The sequence below is a fragment of the Homo sapiens genome, chromosome 1, assembly GCF_000001405.40.
Source record: "Homo sapiens chromosome 1, GRCh38.p14 Primary Assembly".
NCBI classification, from domain to species: Eukaryota; Metazoa; Chordata; class Mammalia; order Primates; family Hominidae; genus Homo; species Homo sapiens.
In genome coordinates, this window is record NC_000001.11 from 32,565,843 (window position 1) to 32,593,803 (window position 27,961).

Genomic DNA, 27,961 nt, shown 5'->3' on the forward strand with positions numbered 1-27,961 from the left:
CTCATACCTTTTGGAGCTTAGATTCTAGTGCTTAGTCTAGAAGCCTAGTCTGCTAGACCAATTAAGAGAATAATTCTGGCCGGGCACCGTGGCTCACGCCTGTAATCTCAGCACTTTGGGAGGCTGAGGCAGGCAGATCATGACGTCAGGAGATCGAGACCATCCTGGCTAACATGGTGAAACCCAGTCTCTACTAAAAATACAAAAAAATTAGCCAGGCGTGGTGGCGGGCACCTGTAGTCCCAGCTACTTGGGAGGCTGAAGCAGGAGAATGGCGTGAACCCAGGAGGCGGAGCTTGCAGTGAGCCAAGATCGTGCCATTGCACTCCAGCCTGGGCGACAGAGCAAGACTCCATCTCAAAAAAAAAAAAAAAAAAGAATAATTCTACAGCTGGGCGCAGTGGCTCATGCCAATAATCCCAGCACTTTGGGAGGCCAAGGTAGTTGGATCACTTGAGCCCAGAGGTTTGAGACCAGCATAGGCAAAATAGTGAGACCCTATATCTACAATAAAAAGAAAAAGAAAGAAAAAATTAGCTGGGCATGGTGGCGCATACCTCTAGTCCCAGTTACTCAGGAGGCTAAGGTGGGAGGGTCACCTGAGCCTGGGAAGTCAAGACTGCAATGAGCCGTGATAGTGCCACTGCACTCCAGCTTGGGCGACAGAGCAAGACTCTGTCTCAAAAATAATAATAAAAAATACATAATAATAAAAACAAAATAATTCTAGTTCTTCCACATAATTGCCTTTCAGTATTGGAAGACAACTATCATGTTTCTTAATCTATACCTCATATGGTGTAGTTTCTATGACAATAGCTATTGAGCCATAGTGATTAACTAAAGCTCCCCATACTAAAGATGGGGTTGTCAAGGAAACCTCTGATGAAGTGACATTTAAGCAAAGACTTGTGTAGAGTTGGGGAACAAGTTATGTGAAGATCCTTCACTCCTGGGTGAGGAATGTTGCAGACACAAGGGATGCCAGGAATGAGCTTGGCACCTTGGGAGGCATCAAAAGCAGTAAGATGAGAGCTGCAGGTAGGGGAGATCTTTCAGAGATCTGGCAGCACTTTTAGACCAGGGTAAAGACTTTGGATTTCTTTCTTAGTGAGATGGGAGCCACTGGAGGTCAAAGTATTTAACTTCATTTATTTTTGTGAAAGGGATTGTATTAGTCCATTCTCGCATTGCTATAAAGAACTCCCTAAGACTGTGTAATTTATACAGAAAAGAGGTTTAATTGGCTCACAGTTCCACAGGCTGTAAAGGAAGCATGACTGGGCAGGCCTCAGGAAACTTACAGTGATGGCAAAAGGCACAGGGGAAGCAGGCCCATCCTACATGTCTGGAGCAGGAGGAAGAGAGTGAAGGAGGAGGTGCTACACACTTTTAAACAACCAGATCTCGTAAGAACTCACAATCACAAGAACAGCAAGAGGGAAATCCGCCCGCATGATCCAGTCACATTCCACCAGGTCCTCTCTCTAACACTGGGGATTACAATTCAACATGAGATTTGGGCGGGGGACACAAATCCAAACCATATCAGGGATCTTCTCTTGTATCTGCCACCTAGCTATTTTTGTGTATTAATTTTATCATAAACTGGCTCTTTTACCAAATTCTTTTGTTTCTAGGTTTAATTGGCTTTATTAAGATGTAATTTAGGCTGGGCATGGTGGCTCACACCTGTAATCCCAGCACTTTGGGAGGCCGAGGCAGGCAGATCACAAGGTCAGGAGATCGAGACCATCCTGGCTAACACGGTGAAACCCGGTCTCTACTAAAATAGAAATATTATCCTGGTGTGATGGTGGGCGCCTGTAGTCCCAGCTACTCGGGAGGCTGAGGCAGGAGAATGGCGTGAACCCGGGAGGCGGAGCTTGCAGTGAGCCGAGATTGCGCCACTACACTCCAGCCTGGGTGATAGAGCAGGATTCTGTCTCAAAAAAAAAAAAAAAAAAAAAAAAAAAAAAAACAAAAACAAAACAAAACAAAAAAAAGATATAATTTAGCCTGGGCACAGTGGCTCACGCCTGTAATCCCAGCACTTTGGGAGGCCGAGGCAGGCAGATCATGAGGTCAGGAGTTTGAGACCAGCCTGGCTAACATGGTGAAACCCCGTCTCTACTAAAAATACAAAAAAATTAGCCAAGTGTGGTGGCACACACTTGTAATCCCAGCTATTAGGGAGGCTGAGGCAGGAGACTTGATCGAACCTGGGAGCTGGGAGGCAGAGGTTGTAGTGAGCGGAGATCATGCCACTGCACTCCAGCCTGGGCGACAGAGCAAGACTCTGTCTAGAGAAAAAATTAAGATATAATTTACATACAGTAAAATGCCCCCATTGTAAATGTACAATTTAATGTTCGACATATGTTCATATGTAATAATCACCATAAATAATACATGAAACATTTTCATTACCTACAATTTCCCTCATGCCTTTTTTTTCTTATGCCATTTTGTAGTAGAGCCTCCTGTTTCGTTCCCAGTTTCAGGCAACTGTAATCTCCCTTACGTGATTATAGATTAGTTCTGCCTATTCTTTTTTTTTTTGAGATGGAGTCTCGCTCTGTCGCCCAGGCTAGAATGCAGTGGCGTGATCTCTGCTCACTGCAAGCTCCGCCTGCCGGGTTCACGCCATTCTCCTGCCTCAGCCTCCTGAGTAGCTGGGACTGCAGGCGCCCGCCACTACGCCCGGCTAATTTTTTATGTTTTTAGTAGAGACGGGGTTTCACCATGTTAGCCAGGATGGTCTCGATCTCCTAACCTCGTGATCCGCCCGCCTCGGCCTCCCAAAGTGCTGGGATTACAGGCGTGAGCCACTGCGCCCGGCCCTGCCTATTCTTAAGATTTCATATAACTGGACTCACACAGTAGGTGTTCTTTGGTGTCTGGCTTCTTTCATTGAGCCTAATGATTTTGAGAGTCATTCACATCACTGCTTGTATCAGAAGTTTGTTGGCTCTATTGTTCAGTAGTGTTCCATGGTATGGATATACTACAATTTATTTATTCACCAGCAGACGCACATTTTATTTCCAATTTGGGGCTAATATGAACAAAGCTGCTATGAAAATTCTTGTATAAATTTTTTTGTAGTCATGTGTTTTCATTTCTCTTGTATAAATACCTAGGAGTGGAACTGCCAGGTCTTAGAGTAGGTATAACTTTATTAGAACTGCTAAATAATTTTCCAAAGTGACTGTAGCATTTTACATTTCCACCAGCAATACATGAGAGAACCAACTTCTCCACATCCTTGCCAACATTTGGTATTGTCAGTCATTTTGTCTTTAGCCATGATGGTGGGTGTGTAATGACATTTCCTCGTGGTTTTAATTGGCATTTCCCTGAAGTGACATCTTTTCATGTGCTTATTTTGTTTGTTTTCTATTATGAAGTGTCTGTTCAAATCATTTGCCCGTGGGTTTTTTGTCCTAGTGTTGAGTTCTTTATGTATTCTGGGTACAACTCTTTTGTCAGATATATATACTGCAAATATTTTATCCTGGTTTGTGGTCTGGTTTTCCTTTCCTTTTTTTTTTTTTTTTTTTTTTTTTGAGACAGAGTCTTGCTCTGTTGCCCAGGCTGGAGTGCAGTGATGCGATCTCAGCTCACTGCCAGCTCTGCCTCCCGAGTTCACGCCATTCTCCTGCCTCAGCCTCCTGAGTAGCTAGAACTACAGGCGCCCGTCACCATGCCCAGCTAATTTTTGTATTTTTAGTAGAGACGTTGTTTCACCGTGTTAGCCAGGATGGTCTCTATCTCCTGACTTCGTGATCCACCCGCCTCAGCCTCCCAAAGTGCTGGGATTACAGGCATGAGCCACCGCTCCCGGCCAGCTTTTCCTTTCCTTAATGGTATCTTTAAAAGAGCAGAATTTTGATAAAGCCATTTGTCAACTTTTTCTTATAGTTCATGCTATTTCTTTTTTTTTTTTTGTCTGTAAAAAATAGAGATAGGGTTTTGCTATGTTCCCCAGGCTACTCTTGAACTCCTGGTCTCAAGCAATCCGTCCACCTCAGCCTCCCAAAGTGCTGGGATTATAGGTGTGAGCCACTGCACTTGGTGTACTTCACACTTTTTGTGTCTTAAGAAATCTTTGTCCACCCCAAGGTCCCAAAGACTTTCTCCTTTGTTTTCTTCTGAAATTTAGCTTTTACCATGATGTTTTTCTATGAACTTTTTCTATGATCCTTGTCAAATGAAAATTTGTATGTTGTGTAAAGTAAGAATCAAGATTGTTTTTTCTTCTCTAATGGATATCCAGTTGTTCTGGCACCATTTGTTTGAAAACATGAACCTTTCCCCATTCAGTGACTGTGATATCTTTGTCAAAAGCCAATTGATAAAGTAAACCTGACTAAAAAATCAATTGATAATATATTCATGTGTCTATTTCTGGACTCTATTCCATTGATCTATGTGCCTGTCTTACTGCCAATAATACACTATCTTGGTTACCATAGTTATAGTAAGTCTTGTAATTACGTAGGTTAAGTTCCCTTTTCCTCTTCTTTTTCAAAATTGTTTTGGCTATTTTAGGTCCACTGAATTCCCTTTAAATTTTAGAAGCAGCTTGATACTTTCTACAGAGATAAATTTGCTTGGATTTTGTTGGGATTACATTAATCCTGTACGTCCACTTGAATAGAATTGACATATTAACTGTTTCTTCTAATTCATCTGCATGGCTTATCTTTCCACTTATTTAGATTGTTTATATTTCTCTCAAGTATTTTGTGGTTTTGAATACATAGAGTTTGCAAATAATTTAGTTATATTGACCCCTAAGCATTTTTGGTGCTCTTACGAATGCATTGTTTAAAATTTTTATTTTCCAACTGTTCATTGCTAACATATAGAAATAAAACTGATTTTCATATGTTGATCCTGTATCTTGTGACCTTGTTAAATTCAGTTATTTGTTCAAGAAGATTCTTTATAGGATTTTCTGTATACATAATTGTGTCATCTATAAACAATAACAGTTTTCTTTTTCCTTGTTACTCTTTATGCCTGTTATTTCTTTTTTTTTTTTTAAGACTGAGTCTCGCTCTGTCACCCAGGCTGGAGTGCAATGGTGCAATCTTGGCTCACTGCAACCTCCACCTCCCAAGTTCAAGCAATTCTCCTGCCTCAGCCTCCTGCGTAGCTGGGATTACAGGTGCCCACCACCACGCCCGGCTTATTTGTGTAATTTTAGCAGAGATGGGGCTTCACCATGTTGGTCAGGCTGGTCTCAAAGTCCTGACCTCAGGTGATCCACCCACCCCAGCCTCCCAAAGTGCTGGGATTACAGGCGTGAGCCACCACACCCGGCCTATGCCTGTTATTTCTTTAACATCTCTTACTGCACTGACCAACACCTCTAGTACAGTGTTGGATAGAAATAGTTGAGAGCACAAATCTTTGCCCTATTCCCTGCCTTAGGGGGAAAGCATTTGATCTTTCACAGTTAAGTAAGATATTAGCAGTTGGCTTTTTGTAGATGGCCTTTAGCAGCTGAGGAAGTTTCCTTCTATTTCTGTTTCACTGGAGTTTTTATTATGAATAAGTGTTGGATTTTTCAAATGTTTGTTCTGTGTCTGTTGAGATAGCCTTATTTTTTTTTGTTCTGTTAATGTAGTGGATTGTACTGATTAATTTTCAACTGTTAAACATCTTGTATTCCAGCGATAAACCTCACTTGGTATTATCCTTTCTTATATATTTGATTTACAAATATAATTTTTTTTTTTGAGACAACGTCTTGCTCTGTCACCCAGGCTGGAGTGCAATGGTGCGATCTTGGCTCACTGCAACCTCTGCCTCCTGGGTTCAAGCAATTCTCCTGCCTCAGCGTCCCAAATAGCTGGTATTACAGGCGTCCGCCACCACGCCCAGCTAATTTTTTTGTACTTTTAGTACAGATAAGGTTTTGCTATGTTGGCCAGGTTGGTCTCGAACTCCTGACTTCAGGTGATCCACCCGCCTCGGCCTCCCAAAGTGCTGGAATTACAGGTGTGAACCACTGCGCCCGGCCACAAATATAATATTAGGTTGGGGGTTTTTTTTGTTTGTTTTTTTTGAGACGGAATCTCATTCTGTCACCTGGGCTAGAGTGCAGTGGAACAATCTTGGCTCACTACAACCTCTGCCTCCCAGGTTCAAGTGATTCTCCTGTCTCAGCCTCCTGAGTAGCTGGGACTACAGGTGCACACCACCACGCCCAGCTAATTTAGGATTTTTGTGTCCATGTTTACAAGGGATATTGGTCTGTAGTTTTATTTTCTTATAATGTCTTTGGTTTAGGTATCAGAGTAATACTGGCCTCATAAAATGAGTTGAAAGTTTTTCTCCTTGTCTATTTTATGAAAGTGTTTGCATAGATGAGTATTATGTCTTTCTTAAATGTTTGATAGAATTCAACACTGAAGCCATTTGGGTCTGGAGTTTTCTTTGTGGGCAGTTTTTAAGTTATATTTTAAATTGATTTAATATAATTTAAATTTTAAGTTTGATATATGGCTATTCAGATTTTTAATTTTTTTCTTGTATTAGGTTTTTTTTTTCTTTTTTTGAGACAGAGTCTCACTCTGTTACCCAGGCTGGAGTACAGTGGCGTGATCTCACCTTACTGCAACCTCCGCCTCCTGGGTTCAGGTGATTCTCATGTCTCAGCCTCCTGAGCAGCTAGGAATATAGGCACACACCACCACACCTGGCTAATTTTTGTATTTTTAGTAGAGATGGGGTTTCGCCATGTTGGCCAGGCTAGTCTCAAAACTCCTGACCTCGGGTAATCCACCCACCTTGGCCTCCCAAAGTGCTGGGATTACAGGCATGAACCACTATGCCCGGCCTCTTATACTAATTTTGATCACTTATATCACTCAGGAAATTCATCTATTTCATTTAATTTGTTGAATGTATTAGCATAGAGTTCATAATAGTTTCTTTTTATTCTTTCAATGTTTGTAAAATCTGTAGTGATGCTTCCCTCTTTCATTCCTAATACTGGTAATTTATGTCTTCTTTTTTTTTTTCTTGGTTGATCTAGCTAAAGGTTAATCAATCTTTATTGATAATGATTAATTTATTGATACTGATACAGATAACCAGCTTTTGGTTTCATTGATTTTTCTCTATCATTTCTTTGGTTTCTATTTTGTTCATTTCCTTCCTTCTACATACATTGGGTTTAATTTGATCTCCTTTTCTCTAGTTCTCTAGATTCTTTTTTTTTTTTTTTTTTGAGACTGGGTCTCCCTCTGTCACCCAGGCTGGAGTGCAGTGGCATGATCTCAGCTAACTGCAACCTCCCCCTCCCAGGTTCAAGTGATTCTCCTGCCTCAGCCTCCTGAGTAGCTGGGATTACAGGTGCGTGCCACCACACCCGGCTAATTTTTTTTTTTTTTTTTTAGTAGAGATGGGGTTTCAGCACGTTGGTCAGGCTGGTCTCGAACTCCTGACCTCGTGATCTGCCCGCCTCGGCCTCCCAAAGTGCTGTGATTACAGGCGTGAGCCACCGCGCCTGGCCCTTCTCTAGATTCTTAAGTTGAAACTTAACTCATTAATTTTTTCAGAACTTTCTTCTTCTTTTTTTTTTTTTTAATTGAGAAAGGTCTCACTCCCATCACCCAGGCTGATGTGTGGTGGCATGATCATGGCTCACTGCAGCCTCGACTTCCTGGGCTCGGGTGATTCTCCCACCTTAGATACCCAAATAGCTGGGACTACAGGCGTAAGCCACCACATTTGGCTAATTTTTTGTATTTTTTGTAGAGACAGGGTTTCACTATGTTGCCCAGGCTGGTCTCGAACTCCTGGGCTCAAGTGATCTGCCCATCTCAGCCTCCCAAAGTGCTGGGATTACAGGCAAAAGCCACCACACCCAGCTAAAACTTTTTTTTTTTTTTTTTTTTTTTAATATAAGAATTTAAAACTATACATTTTCCTGGCCGGGCGCAGTGGCTCATGCCTGTAATCCCAGCACTTTGGGAGGCCGAGACAGGCGGATCACCTGAGGTCGGGAGTTCGAGACTAACCTGACCAACATGGTGAAACCCCATCTCTACTAAAAATCCAAAAAATTAGCCGGGTGTGGCAGCGCGTGCCTGTAATCCCAGCTATTCGGGAGGCTGAGGCAGGAGAATCGCTTGAACCCGGGAGGCGGAGGTTGCAGTGAGCTGAGATCGCACCATTGCATTCCAGCCTGGGCAACAAGAGCGAAAACTCTGTCTCAAAAAATAAAAAATAATAAATAAAATAATAAATGAACTATACGTTTTCCTCTAAACTGCTTGAACTGCAAACAACACATTTTGATTTGTGTAGAGTATTCTATAAATGTCTATTTATTTAGAAGTTTAATGTTTAATTTCCAAGTATTTCAGGATTTTCATGTGCTATTGACTTCTAGTTTGATTGTATATGGTCAAAGAACATACTCTGTGTGATTTTAATCCTTTAAATATACTAAAAACTTAGGCCAGGTGCGGTGGCTTACGCCTGTAATCCCTGAGGCTGAGGCAGGAGGATAACTTGAGGCCAGGAGTTTGAGACCAGCCTGGGCAATGTAGGCAGACCCCTGACTCTACAAAAAACTTAAAAATTAGCCAGGTGTGGTGGCATGCACCTGTGGTCCTAGTTACTTGGGAAGATGAGGCTGGAGGATTGCATGAGCCCAGAAGTTTGAGGTTATAGTGAGCTATGATTGCAGCCCTGCACTCCAGACTGAAAGACAGAGCAAGACCCTGTCTCTAAAATTAAAAAATAAAAATTTTTTAAAAAATTATAACATGTTTTATGGCTCAGGGTATGGTCTATCTTGATTAATGTTTGCTGTGTACTTAAAAAGAATGTATATTTTGCTCTTGTTGTGTAGAGTGTGCTGTAAATGTAAATTTGTCCAAGTTGGTTGATAGTATTGCTCAAGTGTTTTATTTATTTTATTATTTTGAGACAGGATCTCACTCTGTCACCCAGGCTAGAGTTGCAGTGGTGCTGACATGGTTCACTGCAGACTTGACCTCCTAAGCACAAGTGATTCTCACAACTCAGCCCCATCAGTAGCTGGGACCACAGGTGCATGCCGCCATGCCAAGCTAATTTTTATTTTGTAGAGATGGGTGTCTCTCTGTGTTGCCCAGGCTGGTCTTGAACTGCTGCCCCCAAGTAGTTCTCCCACTTTGGCCTCTCAAAGTGCTGGGATTACAGGCGTGAGCCACCATGCCTGGCCTGATAATGTCCTTTTTAAATGGAGTTCAGACTATTAACATTTAATGTAATTATCAATATAGTTGGATTTAAGTGTACTGTCTTGCTATTTGTTTCCTATTTATGCCAACTTTTTTTTAATGTCTTTTGTTCTTTTTGTTTTCTTTTCTTTCCTTTTTTTTTTTTTTTTTTTTGAGACAGTTTCGCTCTTTCCCCGAGGCTGGAGTGCAGTGGCACAATGTCAGCTCACTGCAACCTCTGCCTTCAGGTTTCAAGCGATTCTCCTGCTCCAGCCTCCTGAGTAGCTGGGATTACAGGTGCTTGCCACCACACCTGGCTAATTTTTGTATTTTTAGTAGAGATGGGGTTTCACCATGCTGGCCAGGCTGGTCTCAAACTCCTGACTTCATGATCTGCCCGCCTCAGCCTCCCAAAGTGCTGAGATTACAGGCGTGAGCCACCGCGCCCGGCCCATCTTTTGTTCTTTTGCTTTTCTTTATCCTGCCTCAGTTAAAGAATATTGAGGTGGCTCACGCCTATAATCCCAATACTTTGAGGGTCCATGGTGGGAGGATCGCTTAGGGCCGGGAGTTCAAGACCAGCCTGAGCAACACAGCAGGACCCCATCTCTGCAAAAAATTAAAAAAAAAAAAAATAGGCATGATGGTGGTCTCCTGTAGTCCCAGCTACTCGGGGGGCTGAGGTGGGAGGATCACTTGAGGCCAGGAGTTCAAGGTTACGGTAAAGCTATAATCATGCCACTGAACTCCAGCCTGGACAACAAACCCAGACCCTATCCCTGAAACAAACAAACGAAAAGAATATTGAGTACTTTTTTAGTATTCTGTTTCATCTCCACTATTGGCTTATTAACTTAATCTCTGTCTTATTTTTAGTAGTTGCTCTCAGGATTACAATATGCATTTTCCCTCATCACAATATGCATTTCACTTATTACTCATCACATATTATAGAGCTTCATATATAGCAGATTTCACAAACTACAGCCTTCAAGCCAAGCCTGAATGCCTACCTGCTTTTGTAAATAAGGTTTTATGGGAACATAGCCATGGTCATTCATTTACATATTTTTTCATCAAGTCCAAAATGTCTACATAAATATGACACATTTTGTGCTATAAGAACAGGGTTGAGTAGTTGCAATGGAGGCTACATAGCCTGCAAAGCCAAAAGTATTTACTGTGTGGCCTTTTAAGTAAAAGTTTGTCAACTTCTCATGTATATTATAAGAACCTTACAGTATATTTCTGTTTTTCCCTTTTTCTTCAAATGTTTTTTCTGTCCCCACCGTTTCTGGAACCTCAGTTACAAATATATTAGACTATTTGATATTGTTCCACATTTCACTAAAGCTCCGTTCATTTTTTTTTCTTTGAGACAGTTTCGTTCTTGTTGCCCAGGCTGCAGTGCAATGGCGCAATCTTGGCTCACTGTAACCTCCACCTCCCAAGTTCAAGCGATTCTTCTGCCTCAGCCTCCTGAGTAGCTGGAACTACAGGTGCCCACCACCATGCCTGGCTAATTTTTGTGTTTTTAATAGAGACGGGGTCTCACTATGTTGGCCAGGCTGGTCTCAAACTCCTGACCTCAGGTGATCTGCCTGCCTCGGCCTCCCAAAGTGCTGGGATTACAGGCCTGAGCCACCACGCCCAGCCTAATTTTTGTATTTTTGGTAGACACAGGGTTTCACCATGTTGGCCAGTTTGATCTCCATCTCCTGACCTCAAGTGATCTGCCCACCTTGGCCTCTCAAAGTGCTGGGATTACAGGCGTGAGCCACCATGCACAGACTCTTTTTTTTTTTTTCTTTTTTTTTTGAGATTGAGTCTCACTCTGTTATCCAGGCTGGAGTGCAGTGGCATGATCTCAGCTAACTGCAACCTCCGCCTTCCAGGTCCAAGTGATTCTCCTGGCTAAGCCTCCCTAGTAGCTGGGATTACAGGTGTGCACCATGACACCAAGCTAATTTTTTGTATTTTTTAGTAAAGACAGGGTTTCACCATGTTGGCCAGGCTGGTCTCGACTCTTGACCTCAGGTGATCTGCCCGCCTTGGCCTCCCAAAGTGCTGGGATTACAGATGTGAGCCACCATGCCTGGCCTTTGTTCATTTTTTGTCAGTCCTTTTTTGTTTTCTTTTTGAGACAGAGTCTTGCTCTGTTGCCCAGGCTGGAGTGCAGTGGCGCGATCTCAGCTCACTGCAATCTTCACCTCCCAGGTTCAAGCGATTCTCATGCCTCAACCTCCTCAGTAGCTGGGATTACAGGTGTGTTTCACTCTGTTGCCCAGGCTGGTGTTGAGCTCCTGAGCTCAGGCAATCCACCCGCCTCAGCCTTCCAAAGTGCTGGGATTACAGGCGTGAGCCACTGAGCCCTGCCGTCAGTCTTTTTTTTTTTTTTAACTTTAGTTCAGATAATTTCCACTTCATGTCTTCAAATTCATGGAGTAGTCTTCTGCAGTTTATAATCTCTTATTAAGCCCATCTAATGCATTTTTAATTTCAGATATTGTATTCTTTTTTTTTTTTTTTTTTTTTTTGAGACAGAGTCTTTCTCTGTCACCCAGGCTGGCACGATCTCAGCTCATTGTAGCCTCCACCTCCCAGGTTCAAATGATTCTCATGCCCTAGCCTCCCGAGTAACTGGGATTACAGGTGTTTGCCACCACCCCTGCTAATATTTTTGTACTTTTAGTAGAGAGGGGGTTTCACCAAGTTGTCCAGACTGGTCTCAAACTCCTGGCCTCAAGTAATCTGCCTGTTTCAGCCTCCCAAAATACTGGGATTACAGGTGTGAGCCACTTCACTTGGCCCAGATACTGTATTTTTTGATTTCTATAAATTTTTTTTTTGAAAGGGAGTGTTGCTCTATTGCCCAGTCTGGAGTGCAGTGGTGTGATCTCAGCTCACTGCAACTTCCACCTCCTGGGTTCAAGTGATTCTCCTGCCTCAGCCTCCCCAGCAGCTGGGATTACAGGTGCGTGCCACCATCCCCAGCTAATTTTTTTGTTTGTTTGTTTTTTGAGATGGAGTCTTGCTCTGTCGCCCAGGCTGGCACAACCCTAGCTTACTGCAACCTCTACCTCCCGGGTTCAAGCAGTTCTTCTGCCTCAGCCTCCCAAGTAGCTGGGATTACAGGAGCATGCCACCACTCCTGGCTAATTTTTTTTTTTTTTTTTTGTATTTTTGTAGAGATGGGATTTTGCCATGTTGGGCAGGCTGGTCTCAAACTCCTGACCTCAGGTGATCTGCCTGCCTCCGCCTCCCAAAGTGCTGGGATTACAGGCCTGAGCCACCACATCCAGCCTAATTTTTGTATTTTTAGTAGAGACGTGGTTTCACTGTGTTAGCTAGTCTGGTCTCCATCTCCTGACCTCAAGTGATCCGCCCGCCTTGGCCTCCCAAAGTGCTGAGATTACAGACGTGAGCCACCAGGCCCGGCCCTAATTTCTAGAAATTTTATTTGACTATTTTTATATCTTTCAATATGTTCATTTTTAAAAAAATCTTTGAGTATATGTATAGTTAATGCTTTTACATCCTTCTTTGCTAACTCTAGCATCTCTTTCATTTCTAGATCTGTTTCTATTGACGAATTTTTCCTTCTGATTTAAAAAAATATTTTATTTATTTATTATTTATTTATTTATGGAGACAGGCTCTCACTGTGTTATCCAGGCTGGAGTGCAGTGGCTATTTACAGGTGTGATCATAGCGCGCTACAGCCTCTAACTCCTGGACTCAAGCGATCCTGCTGCCTCAGCTTTTCAAGTAGGCGGGACTACAGCCTCATGCCATTGTGCCCAGCACTAATCTTTTTTTTATGGAATGGTGGACACTATAAATATATATTTTTGAGTGTCTGAATTTTGTTGTCTGTCTTTAATTGAATTTTGGTTTACTTGTTAATTTGTTAATGGATCAGCTTGATTTGGAGGCTTGTTTTTAAGCTTTGGGGCAGTTCTAGAGTTATCTTTACTGTTGTGTTAGGTTAGTCGTACTACTAAGATATTACTCTTCCAGGGTCTCTACTTTATGCCCTGGATGTTCAGCTTCAGCAAAGAATGTTTACTCTGGCTGGTCAAAACTTAAATATCAGCCAGGCGCACTGGCTCACACCTAAAATACCAGCACTTTGGGAGGCTGAGGCGGATGGATCACCTAAGGTTAGGAGTTCAAGACCAGCCTGACCAACATGGTGAAACCCCGTCTCTACTAAAAAATACAAAAATTAGCCGGGGCATGGTGGCAGACGCCTGTAATCTCAGCTACTCAGGAGGCTGAAGCAGGAGAATCACTTCAACCCGGGAGGCGGAGGTTGCAGTGAGCTGAGATCACACCATTGCACTCCAGCCTGGGCAACAGAGCAAGATTCCATCTCAAAAAAAAAAAAAAGAAAAGAAAAAAAACAACTTAAATATCTTCCAACTCTGTGTGAGCTCTGGGAATTTTTCTGCTCATAGAAACTCAGGACTCCTGTGAAGAGTTATTGATCTCTTTGCATAGTTGCTTCTTCTCTGGTACTTTGCCTCAAACTTCCAGGCACCTCATGTTCCTGAACACTGATCTCTGCTCCATTCAGTGTGATTTTCTCTTCCTGTATTCCAGTCCAGAAAGCCAAAGTGATAGTAGGACATACCTCACTTGGTTCCATTCTCTCAGGGATCACAGTCGCATACTCACTGATTTCATTGTCTGAAAACAATTTTTTTCATGTATTTTGTTCAGTTTTTCTAATTGTTTATAGCAGAAGGCCAAGTCTAGTACCAGTTACTCCAACATGTGAAAAGAATTTTACTTTTATAGTTTTCTGATTTTACATTTTTTACTTTATAGATATACAGTATCACCTGCAGTAATAATAACTTATTATTTCTAATATTCACACGTTGTAGTTAGTTATCTTGTCTAATTCATTGGCTAGTACTTCCAGGACAATGTTAAATAATAGTATTGATATTTTCCTGGTATTTTTCTGTAAGGGTAGATGGGACAACATTTTAAAGGGAGGCCGGGCATGGTGGCTCACACCTATAATCCCAGAACTTGAAGCTCAGGCAGGTGGATTGAAGAATCACTTGAGCCTGGGTGGTGGACGTTGCAGTGAGCCAAGATCGCACCACTGCATTCTAGCTTGGGCTACAAAGTGAGACTCCATCTCAAAAAAACAAAAACAAAAAAAATTTTTTTAAAGAGAGCATTGACTGGGCACAGTGGCTCATGCCTGTATATAATCCCAGCACTTTGGGAGGCTGAGGCAGGCAGATCACTTGAGTTCAGGAGTTCGAGACAAGCCTGGCCAACATGGTGAAACTCCGTCTCTACTAAAAATTAGCCAGGCATGGTGGCACATGCCTATAGTCCCAGCTATTAGGGAAGCTTGAGGCACGAGAATTGCTTGAACCTGGGAGGCAGAGGTTGCAGTGAACCAAGATCGCACAACTGTACTCCAGGCTGGGCAACAGAGTAAGATTCTGTCTGAAAAAAAAAAAAAGAGAATTTTCAGGGTTAATGACAATACTGGGGAAAAGGGCACTGTCCTATGGTGTTGATGGAGATACAAATTGATATAGTGTTTTCGGAAGGCCGTTTGTCAGTACCCACTTAACAACTGGACTTCTAGGAATCAAATTATGTCCTAAATGCTTGTCTTAGTCCGTTTCTGTTGCTATAACAGAATACCACAGACTGGGTAATTTATAAAGAGCAGAAGTTTATTTGGCTCACAGATCTCATGCCAGCATCTGGCAAGGATCATCGGATGGTGGAAGGCATCCCATGGCAAGGAAGCACAGGAGCAACACAGAGAGACAACAAGGGGGCCAAACTCTTAGCAGGAGCCCACTCCCATGCTAACTAACCCACTCCCAAGATAACGGCATTAATCCATGCATGAATGAGGTGTCCACACGACCTAATAACTTCTTTAATCTACCTCTTAATACTGTTACCTCTTAATACTGTTACATGAGTTTGTAGGGACATTAAAACCATAGCAATGCTCAAGGATTATATATAGATAATATATTAAATATATATAATATATAATATATATAACTATATTATATATATTTATATATATTAAATATATTATAACTATATTATAATATAGTTATATTATAAATATGTTATATTATATATTATATATAATATAATATAATATATTATATAATTGTAATATATAGATATATATTAATATAATAATACAATATTAATATATATTTATATATTATATAATAATATATAATATATAAGTATATATAATATATAAAAATATGTATTATATATATATTTTTTTTGAGATAGAGTTTCCCTCTTGTTGCCCAGGCTGGAGTGCAATGGCAAGACCTTGGCTCACTGCAACCTCCATCCCCCAGGTTCAAGCGATTCTTCTGCCTCAGCCTCCCAAGTAGCTGGGATTACAGGCGCACGCCAACATGTCTGGCTAATTTTTGTATTTTTAGTAGAGATGGGGTTTCGCCACGTTGGCCAGGCTGGTCTCAAACTCCTGACCTCAGGTGATCCACCCGCCTCGGCCTCCCAAAGTGCTAGGATTACAGGCGTGAGCCACCGTCCCCAGCCTGCAAAAGTATTTGTTGCAGCATTGTATTAGTTTGTTCTCACACTGATACGAAGAAATACCTGAGACTGGGTAATTCATAAAAGAAAGAGGTTTGATTGACTCAGTTCTGCATTGCTGGGGAGACCTCAGGAAACTTACAATCATGGCAGAAGGTGAAGGAGAAGCAGGCATCTTTACAGGGCGGCAGGATGGAGTGAGTGCCAGCAGAGGAAATGCCAGATGCTTACAACACCATCAGATCTCGTGAGACTCACTCACTGTAATGAGAATAGCATGGGCGGAGCTGCTCCTATCATTCAGTTACCTCCACCTGGTCCTACCCATGAGGATTACAATTCAAGATGAGATTTTGGGTGGGGACACAGCCAAACCATATTAAGCATTATTTATCATATCAAAAAAATGTAGTCATGACCCAACTACCTTGTTTCAAAGAGAACAGAGGAATTATTATATTTTAACTGAGAGGATATGCTAGTACAGGTTGAGTATCCCTAACCCAAAAATTCAAAATCTGAAATGCTCCAAAATCTAAAACTTTTTGAGTACTAACTTGATGCTCAAAGGAAATGCTCACTGGAGCATTTTGGATTTTGGATTTTCCAATTAGGGATGCTGAACCTAAGTATAATGGAAATATCCCAAAATCCAAAAAAATATAAAATTCAAAATGCTTCTGGTCCCAAGCATTTTGGATAAAGGATACTCAACCTGGCTGGGTGCAGTGGCTTACCCATGTAATCCCAGCACTTTGGGAGGCCAAGGTGGGCGGATCACCTGAGGTCAGGAGTTTGAGACCAGCCTGACAAACATGAAGAAACCCTGTCTCTACTAAACATACAAAAATTAGCTGGACATGGTGGCACATACCTGTAATCCCAGCTACTTGGGAGGCTGAGACAGGAGAATCGCTTGAACCCGGGAGGCGGAGGTTGCAGTGAGATCGTGCCATTGCACTCCAGCCTGGGCAACAGGAGTGAAACTCTCTCAAAAAAAAAAAAGAAGGATACTCAACCTGTAAAAGATTAGGCATTGATTTAATGCTTCTGTAGCAATATTCCCAGATGTCTTGTTCCGCACTTGTCTGACATAACCATGCATATATTATGTCTCTGTTAGCACAGTATCCCGGGTTTGTCTGTACTCCAGAAACAAGGTCATATAAGGACTCAGCAAAAGCTGGGTCTTTGGGCGCATAATGAGAATGTCCAATCCCTAGCTAAGTGACTCAGTCTTTTTTGTTTAATAATTTCTGGGAGATTTGGGATTTCGAAGCCCATTACTAGTAGAACCTGGCCTATATATTAAACATGGAAGAAACTTCATTATAGATAAAACTCCTTGAGAACTAATTCATTATAGGGTCTTCATCTGTATATATGTTCATATTTATAACTTTCATAGAGTACTGAGTAGAAGTTAATGTATTTTTTAAATAACTGCTTAGGCCAGGTGCAGTGGCTCACACCTGTAATCCCAACACTTTGGGAGACTGAGGCAGGTGGATTGCTTGAGCCCAGGAGTTTGGGACCAGCCTGGGAAACAGTGAAACCCCATCTCTACTAAAAATACAGAAAATTAGCCAGGCATGGGGGTGCAAGCCTGTAGTCCTAGCTACTCTAGAGGCTGAGGTAGGAGGATTGCTTGAACCTGGGAAGCAGAGGTTATAGTGAGCCAAGATTGTGCCACTGGCACTCCAGCCTGGGTGACAGAGTGAGACCCTGTCTCAAAAAAAAAAAAAAAAAAAGTCAGGTTAAGTGACTGAATCTGGGGTGGGAGTTCAGATGGTGAGGCATTAATATAGTCTCACTCATAGGTTAAGACTAGATTAGATTATTCCAGTAATACAAAGGTCATTCAACATCCAAGAAATCCATTAATGTAATATACCATTTTAATAGATTGTTATGGGTTAAATTTGTTCCCCCAAAATGATATGATTAAGCCCTAATCTGCAGTCTTTTATTTGGAAATAAGGCCATTGAAGATGTAATTAAATTAAGACATGGTCACTAGGGTAGGGTGGGCCCTTAATCCAGTATCACTGGTGTCCTTATGAGAAGACAGTGTGAAGATGTGAGGAGAGAATACTTTGGGTTTTTTGTTTTTGAAATGGAGTCTCACTCTGTCACCCAGGCTAGAGTGCAGTGGCGGGATCTCAGCTCACTGCAACCTCCGCCACCCAGGTTCAAGCGATTCTCCTCCCTCAACCTCCCGAGTAGCTGGAATTACAGAGGCCCGCCACCATGCCTGGCTCCTTTTCGTATTTTTAGTAAAGACAGGGTTTTACCATGTTGAGCTTACCATGGTGACCATGTTGGTCTCGAACTCTTGACCTTAAGTGATCCACCTGCCTCGGCCTCCCAAAGTGCTGGGATTACAGGTGTAAGCCACCACACCTGACCAAGGAGGAGAGAATACTTTGTAAAGATACAGAGACACACACGCAGGGAGAAGATGGCCATATGAAGACAGAGGCAGAGATTGGGGATAAGCTGCTTCAAACCAAGGAACACCTAGGGCCACCAGAAGATAGAATGAAATAAAGAAGGATTCCTCCCTTACAGGTTTCAGAAAAACCATGGTCCTGTTTGCAATTTAATTTTGGATTTCTAGCCTCCAGATTGCAAGACAATAAAATTATATTTTTTTAAGTTACCTAGTTTGTGGTACTTTGTTATGGCAGCCCTAGGAAACTAATATACAAAGACGGGAAAACGTATAAATGCAGAATAAACACTTAATACAATTTAGCACTAATTTACGATTTTTTAAGTTTTAGCAAATTGAAAACAAAAGGGCACCAATCAAACTCCTATACTAAACGTCATCATTCTTTTTTTCTTTCTTTCTTTCTTTTTTTTTTTTTTTTTTTTTGAGATAGAGTCTGTCATTGTTGCCCAGGCTGGAGTGCAGTGGCACAAACAAGGATCACTGCAGCCTTGAGCTCCTGGGCTCGAGGGGTCCTGCCACCTCAGCATCCCATGTAGCTGGAACCACAGGTGCATGCCACCATGCCCAGCTAATTTTTTTTGTTTTGTTTTGTTTGTAGAGACAGGATCTCACTTTGTTGCCTAGGCTGGTCTCAAACTCCTGGGCTCAAGTGATCCTCCCGCCTTGGCCTCCCAAAGTGCCGCGATTAGAGGTGTAAGCCACCATGCCCAGCCTAAACATCATTGTTAATAGTTAAATTTTAGCAGTGTTTCCATTCAGCAAATGACGCCTGCTGTCATAGCCTCTTTTCCACACTTTATGGGAGATCCTAGCACATGCAATAGGACAAACATAAGAAATGAGACAGAAAAATGGGACTACATGAAATAAAACTCCTTATTTGCAGACATATAATTATCTACGAAGAATGTTTCAGATTTCTTTTTTTTTTTTTTTTTTTTTTGAGAAGGGTCTTGCTCTGAGGCTCAGGCAGGAGTGCAGTGGCACCATCATGACTTACTGCAGCCTCAACCTCCTGGGCTCAAGCAATCCTCCTACCTCGGCCTCCCAAGTAGCCAAGACCACAGATATGTGCCATTTTCTTATTTTTGTAGAGACAGTCTCCCTATGTTGCCCAGGCTGCTCTTGAACTCCTGGGCTCAAGCGATTCTCCCAACTTGGCCTCCCAAAGTGCTGGGATTATAGGTGTGAGCTATAGCACCTGGACTCAGAAAATCTCTGGATAAACCATTAGAATAAGAGACTTTAGCTAATAAGAGAGGTTGCTACATACCAGATTAATATACAAATATGAATAGTATGCCTATAAACCAGTAATAATGCAATAGGAAAAAAAATGCCCATTCACTATAGCAATAAAATCCATGAGCAGTAGGAATAAATCTAACAAAAATATGTAAGATCTTAACAGAGCAAATAACATTGAAGAGTAGGAAAGACCTGAATAAATGAAGTATACCATGTTCACGGATGGTGAGACTCAACATTATAAAGATGTGAATTCTCCCCTAAATTAATCTATAAGTTCAATACAATAATGAAGCTTGTCAAACTGATGCTAATGTTTATGAGGTAGAAGGGTCGACAGCATTTTTGAAAAAAATGTTACTTGAAGCCAGCCCTGGTGGCTCAACACCTGTAATCCCAGCACTTTGGGAGGCCAAGGTGGGTGGATCACCTGAAGTCAGGAGTTCGAGACCAGACTGGCAAACATGGTGAAACCCCGTCTCTGCTAAAAATACAAAAATCAGCCGGGCGTGGTGGCGGGCTCCTATAGTCCCAGCTACTCAGGAGGCTGAGGCAGGAGAATTGCTTGAACCCAGGAGGTGGAGGTTGCGGTGAGCCAAGATCGCGCCATTGCACTCCAGCCTGGGCAACAGGAGTGAAATTCCGTCTCAAAAACAAAAACAAAAAAAAAGAACGATTTCTGGCCGGGCACGGTGGCTCATGCCTGTAATGTCAGCACTTTGGGAGGCCAAGGTGGGTGGATCACCTGAGTTTGGGAGTTTGAGACCACCCTGACCAACAGGGAGAAACCCCGTCTGTACTTAAAAAAATACAAAATTAACCGGGGTGGTGGTGCATGCCTGTAATCCCAGCTACTCAGGATGCTGAGGCAGGAGAATTGCTTGAACCCGGGAGGCAGAGGCTGTGGTGAACCGAGATCTCGCCATTGCATTCCAGCCTGGGCAGCAAGAGCGAGACTCCGTCTCAAAAAAAAGAACTATTTCCTTATGTGTTTTAACATTTTTGAATCATTCATTCAACAGCATTAATTGACTATCTGTTGTCTAAGAGCTGTTCAAGGAGCTGGAATACATAAGTAAGCAAAATAGGCAAAGTCTCTTCTCTCTTGGACTTTACATTTTAGTAGGAGAAGACAGATAATAAACAAATACATAAAGGTACAGAGAGTGAGAAGGAGTGCTTATAGATTGTTAAAGGAAAGCCTGTCTGATAAGGTGACGTTGGAACAGAAACCTATAGGAAGTGAAAATGTGAGCTCTGTTTATCTGGGGGAAGAATGTTCCAAGTAGAGAGACTGGCAAGTACAAAGGCTGTGTGGCAGGAACATACCTTGAATGTTCAGAAACAAGCAGAGGTCCTGGTAGCTAGAATGCAGTGAGTGAGGAGCAGAGCGGTGGAGATGAGGTTAGAGAAGTACTGGGATGGGGAGCATGCAGATCATATAGGGCCTTTTAGGTTATGAGAAGAACTTTGGAGTTGGATGATAAACCATTGGAAGGTTTTGTGCAGAGGAGTAATGTGATTTCACTTACGTTTTAGAAGGATCACTGTGGCTGCTGTATTCAGACTAGGCTGAAGTTGCAAGGAAGCTATTAAAATAGCCTTTAGGGTCAGGTGCGGTGGCTCACGCCTGTAATCCCAGCACTTTGGGAGGCCGAGGCGGGCGGTTGAGGTCAGGAGTTCGAGACCAGCCTGGCCAACATGGCAAAATCCGTCTCTACTAAAAATACAAAAATTAGCTGGGCGTGGTGGCAGGCGCCTGTAATCCCAGCCACTCGGGAGGCTGAGGTAGGAGAATCGCTTGAACTCTGGAGGCCGAGGTTTCAGTGAGCCGAGATCACACCACTGCACTCCAACCTGGGCAACAAGAGCGAAACTCCATCTCAGATAAATAGCCTCTAGATGATAAGTGATGGTGACTTGGATCAAGGTGGCAGCAGCAGTCTTGGAGAGAAGTGGTGGGATTTTGCTATTCTGAAGGTAAAACCAACAACATGGAGTCAAAGACGACTCAATGTCTTTGATCTAAACAGCTGGTAGAATGGAGATTACATTTCCTAAGATGGATAAGACTGTAGGAAAGGTAGATTTAGGATGGAGGTGAACAAAAAGTATGGTTTTGCACATGTTAAGATGCTGTGATTGGCTGGGCGTGGTGGCTCATGCCTGTAATCCCAGCATTTAGGGAGGCCAAGGCAGGAGGATCGTTTGAGCCCAGCAGTTTGAGACCAGGCTGGACAACATAGTGAGACTGTATCTCTATTTATTTAAAATAAATAATTTTTTAAAAAAGATGCTATGATATTATGAAATATGTGTTTGGTCCTCATCCCTCTTTCCTGGGATACAACTAAAATCCTTAGAATCTCCAAAGTGATATCTTTTTGTATGCTCGTGAATTGACTGCTGGCTGGCTGGCAGCCTCTAGGTAGCTTCAGGTTTGGGGCTGGTCACCAGAAAGATCAAGCAGGAGTAGAGAGGTAGGACTTTCAGCCCACCCCCCAGCCTCTGGGGAGGAGAGAGAGGCTAAAAGTTAATTTGATCACCAATGGCAAATGCTGTAATCAGTTATGCCTACATAATGAAGTTTCCATAAAACCCAAAAGGACTGGATTTGGAGTGCTTCCAGATAGCTGAACATGTGGAGGTTCCTGGAGGGTGGTGCACTTGGGGAGGGCGTGGAAGCTCCAAGCGCTTCCCACGTGCCTTGCCCTATGCATCTCTTCATCTGTATCCTTTGTAATATCCTTTATAACAAACCAAGAAACTTAAGTGTTTTCCTAAGTTCTGTGAGCTACTCTAGCAAATTAATCAAACTTAAGGAGGGCGTTATGGAAACCCCAGTTTATAGCTGGTTAGTCAGAAGCACACATAAAACAAGCTGGGGCCTGCATCAGAAGTTGGGGGATGCCTTATGGGACCGAGCCTTCAACCTGTGGGATCTGATGTTCTCTCCAGGTACATAGTATTGGAATTGAATTGAGTTACAGGACAACTCGCTGGTGTCGGTGCAGAGCTGATTGCTTGCTTGGTGCTTGAAACTATGAGCCTGGATGGGATCTAAATACTCCCTAGGGAATGATATAGGTAGAGAAGATGTTTGAGGCCTGAGACCCAATACATTCCAAAATTTGGAGATTAGGAAAATGGAGAAGAACCAGCAAAGGAGACTGAGAAGGAGTAGCCGGTGAGGTAGGAGAGCCATGAAGGGGTAGTGTCCTGGTGGTCAAATGAAGAAAGTGTTTTAGGATGAAGACAATGATCAACTGTGTAGGCAAAATGAAGATAAAGAAATTATCATTGGATTTGACAACATGTGAGTTACTAATAACCATAAAAATGGTTTTGGCCAGGCCCGATGGCTCACACCTATAATCCCAGCACTTTGGGAGGCCGAGGCAGGCAGATCACCTGAAGTTGAGAGTTCGAGACCAGCCTGGCCAACATGGTGAAACCCCATCTCTACCAAAAATACAAAAATTAGCTGGGTATGGTAGCATGCACCTGTAATCCTAGCTACTCAGGAGGCTGAAGCAGGAGAATCTCTTGAACCCGGGAGGCAGAGGTTGCAGTAAGCCAAGATCGCACCACTGCACTCCAGCCTGGGTGACAGAGTGAGACTCTATCTCAAAAAAAAAAGTGGTTTTGATGGATGGTGATGAAAACCTGATTGGAATGGGTTGATCAAGAGAGACAGGAGGAGACATGGAGACAGCAAATACAAATAAAACAAAGCAAAACTGTTCCAATGAATTTTGTGTAAAGGGAGTTGAAAAGAAAAATGGAATAGAGGCCAAAAGTAGATGTGAAATCAAGGGGAGGATTTTTTTGTTTTTTGTTTTTGAGACAGAGTCTTGTTGTGTCACCCAGGCTGAAGGGGAAGTTTTTGTTGGCACATGTGTTTGTTTGTTTTTGAGTTGGAGTCTTGCTCTGTCGCCTAGGCTGGAGTGCAGTGGCGCAATCTCGGCTCACTGCAACTTCTGCCTCCCAGGTTCAAGCGATTCTCCTGCCTCAGCCTCCTGAGTAGCTCGGATTACAGGCACCTGCCACCACACCCAGCTAATATTTGTATTTTTAGTAGAGATAGGGGTTCACCATGTTGCTCAGGCTGGTCTAGAACTCCTGACCTCAGGTGATCCGCCTGCCTCAGCCTCCCAAAGTGCTGGGATTACAGGTGTGAGCCACCGCGCCCAGCCTGTTTGTTTGTTTGTTTGAGGTGCAGTCTCAGTCTGTTGCCCAGGCTGGAGTGCAGTGGCGCAATCTCTGCTCACTACAGCCTCCACCTCTGGGGGTCAAGCAATTCTCCTACCTCAGCCTCCCGAGTAGCTGGGATTACAGGTAGGCACCGCCATGCCTGGCTGATTTTTTGGTATTTTTAGTAGAGACGGGGTTTCACCATGCTGGCCAGGCTGGTCTCAAACTCCTGACCTCAGGTGATCCGTCAGCCTCGGCCTCTCAAAGTGCTGGGATTACAGGTGTGAGTCACCACGCCCGGCCTCTGTTCATTTTTAAGATAGGAGATATTTGATATCATGTTTATACAATATTGGTAATTATCCACTTTATGTACAGAGGGGAATGATTTTGAGTTCAGCTTAAGCATAGTTTATTTCTGCCTGGCTTGGATTCAGAGACCCACCCTTCCTGAGCAATGTTGCATTTGCTTCTGCAAGGTGCCCTGAAGGCACCACCAGCCCAGGACCAATTTTCACGTTAATTTTTCTTTTTTTTTAACTTTATTTATTATTTATTTATTTTTATAGAGATGGGGATCTTACCATGTTGCCCAGGCTGGTCTCGAACTCCTGGGCTCAAGCGATCTGCCCACCTCAGCCTCCCAAAGTGCTGGGATTACAGGCATGAGCCACTGCGCCCTGCCCATGTTAATTTTTCAGGTTGAGATTTCCCACACCAAGCAGGTAAAGTAAATCTGGTCTCCAGAATCTCACAAGGCAAACCACTGGGCTTCAGTATCTCACCTAAGGCCTTTTTTTTCCCTACCCAGGGCCCTGCAAAGACAAACTTTTTTACCTTCTCCTTGGACATACGGTCAGAATTTTTAGTCCCTTTTCACTAAGGTTGTGGTCCTCAGAGGTTTCTAACTTCCCAGCTGTCAGTTCTAATAGATCAGAGTTTGGTACTGGTAAGGACCTAGTCCCTTAGCCATTACTGGCCCACACAGCTTGGGCTGTGCTGCCTCCGCTTAGCTGGCATCTAGGGATTTCTACATCTTTCTTGCAAGTCCAGCCACACATTTAAAAAACTTCAGCTGTATTTTATCCAGCGTCTCTAGGAATTCGTGGCAGGAAAGTTTTCACCTATCTTGCTGGAACCAGAAATTTTTCTCCTCACTCTACCTGGCTAATTCCTGCTCACCTTTGAGGTCTCAGTTTAAATGTTACTTCTAAAGAGGTATCCCTAACTTTGTCCATCTCAGTCTAAACTAGGATACTACTCATAGCCCCTTTATGCTACTCATAGCACCTTCTTTCTTTCTTAGCACTTGTCATTGTAACTTCATACAAGTCTTTGTTGAATTTAATTTAACTTTTTTTTTAATACGGAGTCTCACTTTGTCACCCAGGCTGGAGTGCAGTGGTGCAATCTCAACTCGCTGCAACCTCCACTTCCTGGGTTCAAGCAATTCTCCTGCCTCAGCCTCCCAAATAACTGGGATTACATGTGTGTGCCATGATGCCCAGCTAAACTTTTTTTTTTTTTTTTTTGTATTTTTAGTAGAAACAGGGTTTCGCCATGTTGGCCAGGCTGGTCTTGAACTCCTAACCTCAAGTGATCTGCCTGCCTCAGCCTCCCAAAGTGCTAGGATTACAGGTGTGAGCCACCACTCCCGGCCTAATTTAACTTTTTTAGAGACAGAGTCTCTCTCTGTGGCCCAGACTGGAGTACAGTGAGTGGCATGATCATGGCTCACTGCAGCCTTCACCCCCTGGGCTCAAGTGATCCTCCTGCTTCAGCCTCCCAAGGAGCTAGGACTACAGGTGTTCTCCATCACACCTGGCTAATTAAAATATATATATATATTTTGTAGAGACAGGGTCTTGCTATGTTGAACAGGCTGGTCTCACACTCCTGGGCTCAAGCTGTCCTCCTGCCTCTGACTCCCAAAGTGCTGGGATTATAGGCGTGAGCTACCACCCTGGGCTGGAGTCTTTGTTTAATGTCTGATAACACTTTTAGACTGAAAACAACATGAAGGCAAAAATCAAATGTGTTGGTTCAGCATATAGCAGAAGGCCTGATTTATTGAAGATGCTTGGCTGGATGCAGTGGCTCATGCCTGTAATCCTAGCATTTTGGGAGGCTGAGGCCAGAGGATCGCTTGAGCCTAGGAGTTCAAGACCAGCCTGGGCAACATAGACCTCATCTCTATATTTAAAAAATGAAAGAAGATGCTCAATAAATTTTGCTAATAAAACAAGTAATTTTCTAAAATCTAATAACGGTCTAGTTGTTTTTTTGTTTTTTGTTTGTTTGTTTGTTTGTTTTTTCAGACAGGGTCTCACTCTGTCGCCAGGCTGGAGTGCATGGCGCAACCTCGGCTCACTGCAACCTCTACCTCCCAGGATCAAGCGATTCTCCTGCCTCAGCTCCCGAGCAGCTGGGACTACAGGCACGCACCACCATGCCCAGCTAATTTTTGTATTTTTAGTAGAGACGGGGTTTCACCATGTTGGCCAGGATGGTCTCCATCTCTTGACCTTGTGATCTGCCCGCCTTGGCCTCCCAAAGTGCTGGGATTATAGGCGTGAGCCACCACGCCTGGCTGATAACAGTCTAGTATTAAGTGATATGTTGAAACCTATTATCTTCTGTGTCTTGGCGATTATATTCTCCAACAAGAAAGTGTTCTTAATGGAATAAAAGAGGCTTCTGATTATTATTTTAGTTGACTCACCTTAGAAAAGGATTGTTCATTTTGGGAGGCTGAGGCAGGAGGATTGCTTGAGCCCAGGAGTTGGAGACCAGCTCGGGTACGTGGTGAGACCTTATCTCTATTAAAAACAAAAAAACAAAAAAAAACAGGCATGGTGGTGCACACCTGTAGTCCCAGCTACTTGGGAGGCTGAGGTAGGAGGATCACTTGAAACCAGGAGTTCAAGGTTGCAGTGAGCTTTTTTTGTTTGTTTGTTTTTGGGGTGTTTGTTTTTTGAGATAGAGTCTTGCTCTGTGGCCCAGGCTGGAGTGCAGTGGTGTGATCTTGGCTCACTGCAACCTCCACCTCCCAGGTTCAAGCGATTTGTCTGCCTCAGCCTCCTGAGTAGCTGGGATTACAGGCACCCGCCACCACGCCCAGCTAATTTTTGTATTTTTGGTAGAGACAGGGTTTCGCCATGTTGTCCAGGCTGGCCTCGAACTCCTGACCTCAGGTGATCTCCCCCGCATTGGCCTCCCAAAGTGCTGGGATTACAGGAGTGAGCCACTGTGCCCAGCCACAGTGAGCTTTGATCACACCACTGCACTGCAGCCTGGGCCACAGAGCAAGATCCTGTCTCAAAACAAAATAAAATAATTGTAATGTAGGTTTTGGTAACCACATGTGTCTTTTCCTCTTCAGAATGGAGATCTCCTCTCATCAGTCTCACCTCCTGCAGCAACTGAACGAGCAGCGCAGGCAAGATGTATTTTGTGACTGCAGTATTCTAGTTGAAGGGAAGGTCTTCAAAGCACATCGAAATGTATTATTCGCTAGTAGCGGCTACTTTAAAATGCTTCTTTCTCAGAATTCAAAGGAGACGAGTCAGCCAACCACAGCTACATTTCAGGCTTTCTCCCCTGACACTTTTACAGTTATCTTGGACTTCGTATATTCTGGCAAACTGTCTCTTACTGGTCAGAATGTCATAGAAGTGATGTCGGCTGCTAGCTTCCTTCAGATGACTGATGTCATAAGTGTATGTAAGACTTTTATTAAATCTTCCTTAGACATTAGTGAGAAAGAAAAAGATCGCTATTTCAGTCTCTCAGATAAAGATGCCAATTCTAATGGTGTAGAACGTTCCTCTTTTTATAGTGGTGGCTGGCAAGAAGGAAGCAGTTCTCCACGTTCTCACCTAAGCCCAGAGCAAGGAACAGGTATAATAAGTGGAAAATCTTGGAATAAGTATAATTATCATCCAGCCTCCCAGAAGAATACTCAACAACCCTTGGCCAAGCATGAACCAAGGAAAGAGTCCATTAAAAAGACCAAACATTTGAGATTGTCACAGCCTTCTGAAGTTACTCATTATAAGTCAAGCAAACGAGAAGTACGAACATCTGATTCTTCCAGCCATGTTTCCCAGTCTGAAGAACAAGCACAGATTGATGCTGAAATGGACTCTACTCCTGTTGGCTATCAGTACGGTCAAGGATCTGATGTCACATCCAAAAGCTTTCCAGGTACCCAAAAAGAGCATAAGTCCCCTCATCCAGGTTCCAAACTGCTATA

General features: G+C 43.0%; 1 protein-coding gene across 3 annotated transcripts in view, besides 1 other annotated feature; it reads left to right on the forward strand.

Moving 5' to 3' along the window:
- The window catches only part of ZBTB8A (zinc finger and BTB domain containing 8A), a 66,515-nt gene that overhangs the window by 26,416 nt on the left and 12,138 nt on the right, over window positions 1–27,961 (forward strand). For 2 of the 3 annotated variants that reach the window (NM_001040441.3, NM_001291496.2), the window contains exon 3: window positions 27,089–27,912. The exons of the other annotated variant lie outside the window; for it this stretch is intronic. In NM_001040441.3, coding sequence (NP_001035531.2) covers window positions 27,090–27,912 — 823 coding nt within the window. In that variant the 5' untranslated portion in view covers window position 27,089. The remainder of the gene's footprint in view (window positions 1–27,088; window positions 27,913–27,961) is intronic. 3 annotated transcript variants of the gene reach the window in all.
- Window positions 6,173–6,373: a silencer, noted in NCBI's record as "peak166 fragment used in MPRA reporter construct". NCBI's record gives its function as "represses an SCP1 promoter by STARR-seq MPRAs in K562 erythroleukemia cells {active_cell/tissue: K562}" and the evidence as "EXISTENCE:reporter gene assay evidence [ECO:0000049][PMID:32103011]".